Raw genomic sequence first — 4,096 nt, 5'->3', positions numbered from 1 at the left:
TGTCTATACCACAGGTTTGCCTGCGATAGTTTCTGTTTTCTCCTGTTGTCCTGGTATAATTAGTCATAGTGCTCCCTTTTATCTTTGAAAATGTCCTTATTTGGATGGTAAATTATGAGGTCAGGCAATCAAATGGTAGGAACCTTTCTGAGGTTCTTTATACACATTACTAATATGCTCTACAGATAAGTTGTACCAATGTACACCCAACTGGTGATCTATTCCTGAAAGAGGAGGGCTGGATGAAAAATATCTTGATGAAAAATTTGAGGAAAGGAATTAGCCTTGTGAAAAAGAAACTTGCCTTGGAAAATTCAGAAATAGCTTACCAATGAGTTCAACTCCTCCTAAGTTCTTATATTCTTAAAATCCACCGCGGCACATTGAGCTTGTTACTTACCGTTCTTCCAGAATTTTAATAAAAGTTTACTGATTCTAAATGGTTATAGCTCTTAGGTGGGAGAACATTGTGATCCTGAAACTATTCAGATTTGAATCCCAACTCAACCACTCACCACTAGTTGTTAAACTTTCAGCAAATCCCATAACTGAGTCTTAGTTTCCTCCTCTTCAAAATGTGGATGGATGTATGTTCGTTTCAGAAGGCTATGAGGATTAGACATCAGGGCCCAACACCAAGAAAACCAGCCTCATGCTAACTCCATCTAAATTCATCCTTTGCCTAGGGAACTGCCCACCCCATCTGTCCAGAAGCAGCATGGGCTCTTTTCCCATTTTCCACACACATCTTCACTGTTCATTCTTGGGATCCAACTTGGTCCCAAGGCCTGAAGGAGTTGCCTTGCTGAATTAACTTTGTAGGAGGACTAGTTAGGCTTATGGCAGTTGTGAATGGTTCCTTGCTTTAAAATGCACCCATGTGCAGACTGTCATCCTGTCTGAAGCGCCCCTTTTAGAGGCTGATCCTCTCTATGTGTCTCCTCTTAGGCAATGCCCCTTAGAGCCAGTTAATTATCAGTTTCCCTCATCTTTCGGGTCAGTAGGAATTGCTTGATGTGTGGGAGGAAGATTTACAGAAAGGAAGGAAAAAGGAGCCAGGAGGTGGATCTAGCCCCCATCCTAACTCGCTGAGTTCCTCTCTTGGAGAGAGTACTGCTACCAGAACTGTTGTCCAGGCAGGTGCTCCTGTAAAGATATGCTAAACATCGAAGTGTGGAATGATCCCACATTTCTACTTGGCTGAACATGTGGCACTGGTTGCAAGTGGCCTCATGGCTGTTGACAGGAAAAAAGAAAAAGCAGGCCAGGTGCAGTGGCTCACACCTATCATCCCCACACTTTTGGAGGCCGAGGCAGGTGGATTGCTTGAACCCAGCCTGAACAACATAGAGAGATCCTATCTCTACAAAAAATACAAAAAAAAAAAAAAAAAAAAAAAAAAAACAAACAAAAGCTGGGTGTGGTGGTGCACGCCTGAAGTCCTAGCTACTCAGGAGACTGGTTGAGGGAGGAGGATTGCTTGAGCCCGAGAGGTTGAGGCCATAGTATGCTGAGATTATGCCACTGCACTTCAGCCTGGGCAATGGGAGTAAGACCCTGTCTCAATTTTTTTTTTTAAGCCAACTTTGTAAAATACGAAAAGGGGTTTATTTTGAGCCAATATGAGTGGCGATGGCCTGAAGGATGGTCTCAGTAGGTCCTGAGAAAGTGTACCCAAAGCGGTCAGGTTACAGCTTAATTTTATACATTTTAGGGAGACAGAAGTTACAGGCAAAGACATAAGTCAGTATGTGTAATGTGTATATTGGTTTGGCCCAGAAAGGTAGAACATCGCAAAGCAGGGAGGCTTACAGGTCATAGGTAGATTCAAAGATTTTCTGATTAGCAATTGGTTGAAAGAGTTAAGCTTTGTCTAAAGACTTAAAGTCAGTAGAAAGTTCAGATAAGGGGTGTTGTGGAGACCAAGGTTCTTGTTATGTAGTTGATGCCTCCTGGGTAGCAGTCTTCAGAGAGAATAGGTGCTAAAGGTGTTAGACTTTTACTTAATCTCTCTTAAATCCAATAAAGATCTGGCTGCATTAATGAAGATTCTCTACAGATGCAAAAATTTCCCTACAAATAACTGTGTTGCAGGACCATTATAAAATATGTCAAGGAAATATATTTTGGGGCAAAATATTTTGATTTCCTTCAGGCTCTGCTGTTATGTGATGCTATACTAGAATCATGTTGGGATTTGATATGTTATTGCCGCAAAGAATATGTTTTGTCTGTCTCACGATCTCTATTTTAATGTTAATGCTGGTCAGTTGTGCCTAAACTCCAAAAGGGAGGTGTGTAACAAAGTGTATCCAACCTCCCTTCCTGTTAGGGCCTGGATTCCAGTTTTTTTTTTTTTTCTTTTTTTTTTTTTGAGACAGAGTTTTATTCTGTCCCCCAGGCTAGAGTGCAGTGGTGCGATCTCAGCTCACTGCACCCTCCAGCTGGCAGGTTCAAGCAGTTCTCCCGCGTCAGCCCCCCTGAGCAGCTGGGATGACAGGTGTGCAGCACCACTGCCAGCTAATTTTTGTATTTTTTGTAGAGACAGGGCTTCACCATGTTGGCCAGGCTGGTCTTGAACTCCTGACCTCAAGTGATCCTGTCAGAAGCATGTTAACCAGAGCAACTCCATCTTGAATAGAAGCTAGCTAAAATGAGGCTGAGACCTACTGGGCTGCATTCCCAAACAGTTAAGGCATTCCAAGTCACAAGGTGAGATAGGAGATCAGCACAAAATACAGGTCATAAAGACCTTGCTGATAAAAACAGGTTGCAGTAAAGGAGCTGGCTAAAACCCACCAAAACCAAGATGGTGTGACCAAGGATGGAACTCTGATCATTCTCACTGCTACATCCCACCAGTGTCATGACAGTTTACAGATGCCGTGGTAATGTCAGATGGTTACCATACATGGTCTAAAAAGGGGAGGCAGGAATAATCCACCTATTGTGGAGTATATCATCAAGAGATAACCATAAAAATAGGCAACCAGCCACCCTTGGGGCTGCTCTGTCTATGGAGTAGCCATTCTTTTATTCCTTTACTTTCCTGATGAACTTGCTTTCACTTTACTCGATGGACAAGCCCTGAATCCAAGAACTGAGTGAGATCCAAGAACCCTCTCCTGAGGTCTGGATCGGGACCCCTTTCCTGTAGCAATCTGCCCTCCTTGGCCTCCCAAAGTGCTAGGATTACAGATGTGAGCCACTGTGCCTGGCCTGGAATTTAGTTTTTCAGGTTGCTATGGGGTCCTCTTGGCCAAGAGGGGGTGTCCTTTCAGTTGGTTTGGGACTTAGGGTTTCATTTGGGGTTTATGTGGCCCAACGAAGCAGGTGAGAACACCCAATGAAGAAGGTGAGAGCACCCTTGGGCGCCTGAGGGACAACATCTCCTTGCACCCTTCAGCTGGCTTGAGATCTCCACTCCATGGTGATTGAGCTCAGTCTCTTGGGTTTGGGTCTCAGAACTCCACTCTGCCTCCTGAGGGCTCTAATCCCACCATTTCCTCAGTGACTGGGAAGGTCAACCCCTTCTATTTTGTCCACTCTGCCTTCCCTGTTTGTTTTTAAATAGACTTAATGTTTTAGGGTTGTTTTAGGTTTACGGCAACATTGAGCAGAAGGTACAGAGATTACGCTGTTTTCATCTCCTGGTTTCTGTTGATGCGAAGGTGCACATCTACCTCCTCTTAGCTCCTGGATTCTACCCACTCAGAGTTTCTGTTTCTCCTAACCTCAGTTAGGCATGACTCCTGAATGTCTGTCTTTTAACTTTTCCTTCTTTGCTCCTGTCATCAACTGATTAATTCTTTCTTTTTCCCAAGTAAACACCCTGATGGGTGCCTCCTATGAATTGGCAGCGCTCTATTCAGGAGCCCAAAATTAACCCAGTAAATCATGGCCTCAGTGACTGCAGGATTAGGAACAGGGTTGCCTGGGGTCTGTGGGTATTGCATACCTTGTGATTGACTTTTACTGTAGCCAATTGAATTTCACATTTAGGGAGTTGTATGCTTCCTCACTCTAGCAGCATAGTAGCCCTGGGAAACAGTCTAGTCATGATTATCTGGATATGTGAATTTTGGGATGATCCCTT

The 4,096-nt window shown here is 43.8% G+C and overlaps 1 annotated feature.

The window, feature by feature from the left end:
* Window positions 1,675-2,324: an enhancer, noted in NCBI's record as "NANOG hESC enhancer chr16:87122126-87122775 (GRCh37/hg19 assembly coordinates)". NCBI's record gives its function as "activates a minimal SCP1, AML or CMV promoter by ChIP-STARR-seq in naive H9 embryonic stem cells {active_cell/tissue: H9 hESC(naive)}" and the evidence as "EXISTENCE:reporter gene assay evidence [ECO:0000049][PMID:30033119]".

This window comes from Homo sapiens, chromosome 16 (assembly GCF_000001405.40).
Source record: "Homo sapiens chromosome 16, GRCh38.p14 Primary Assembly".
Taxonomy (NCBI): domain Eukaryota; kingdom Metazoa; phylum Chordata; class Mammalia; order Primates; family Hominidae; genus Homo; species Homo sapiens.
The sequence above is the reverse complement of the archived record's forward strand: the minus strand, read 5'-3'. Positions and strand labels throughout refer to the sequence as shown.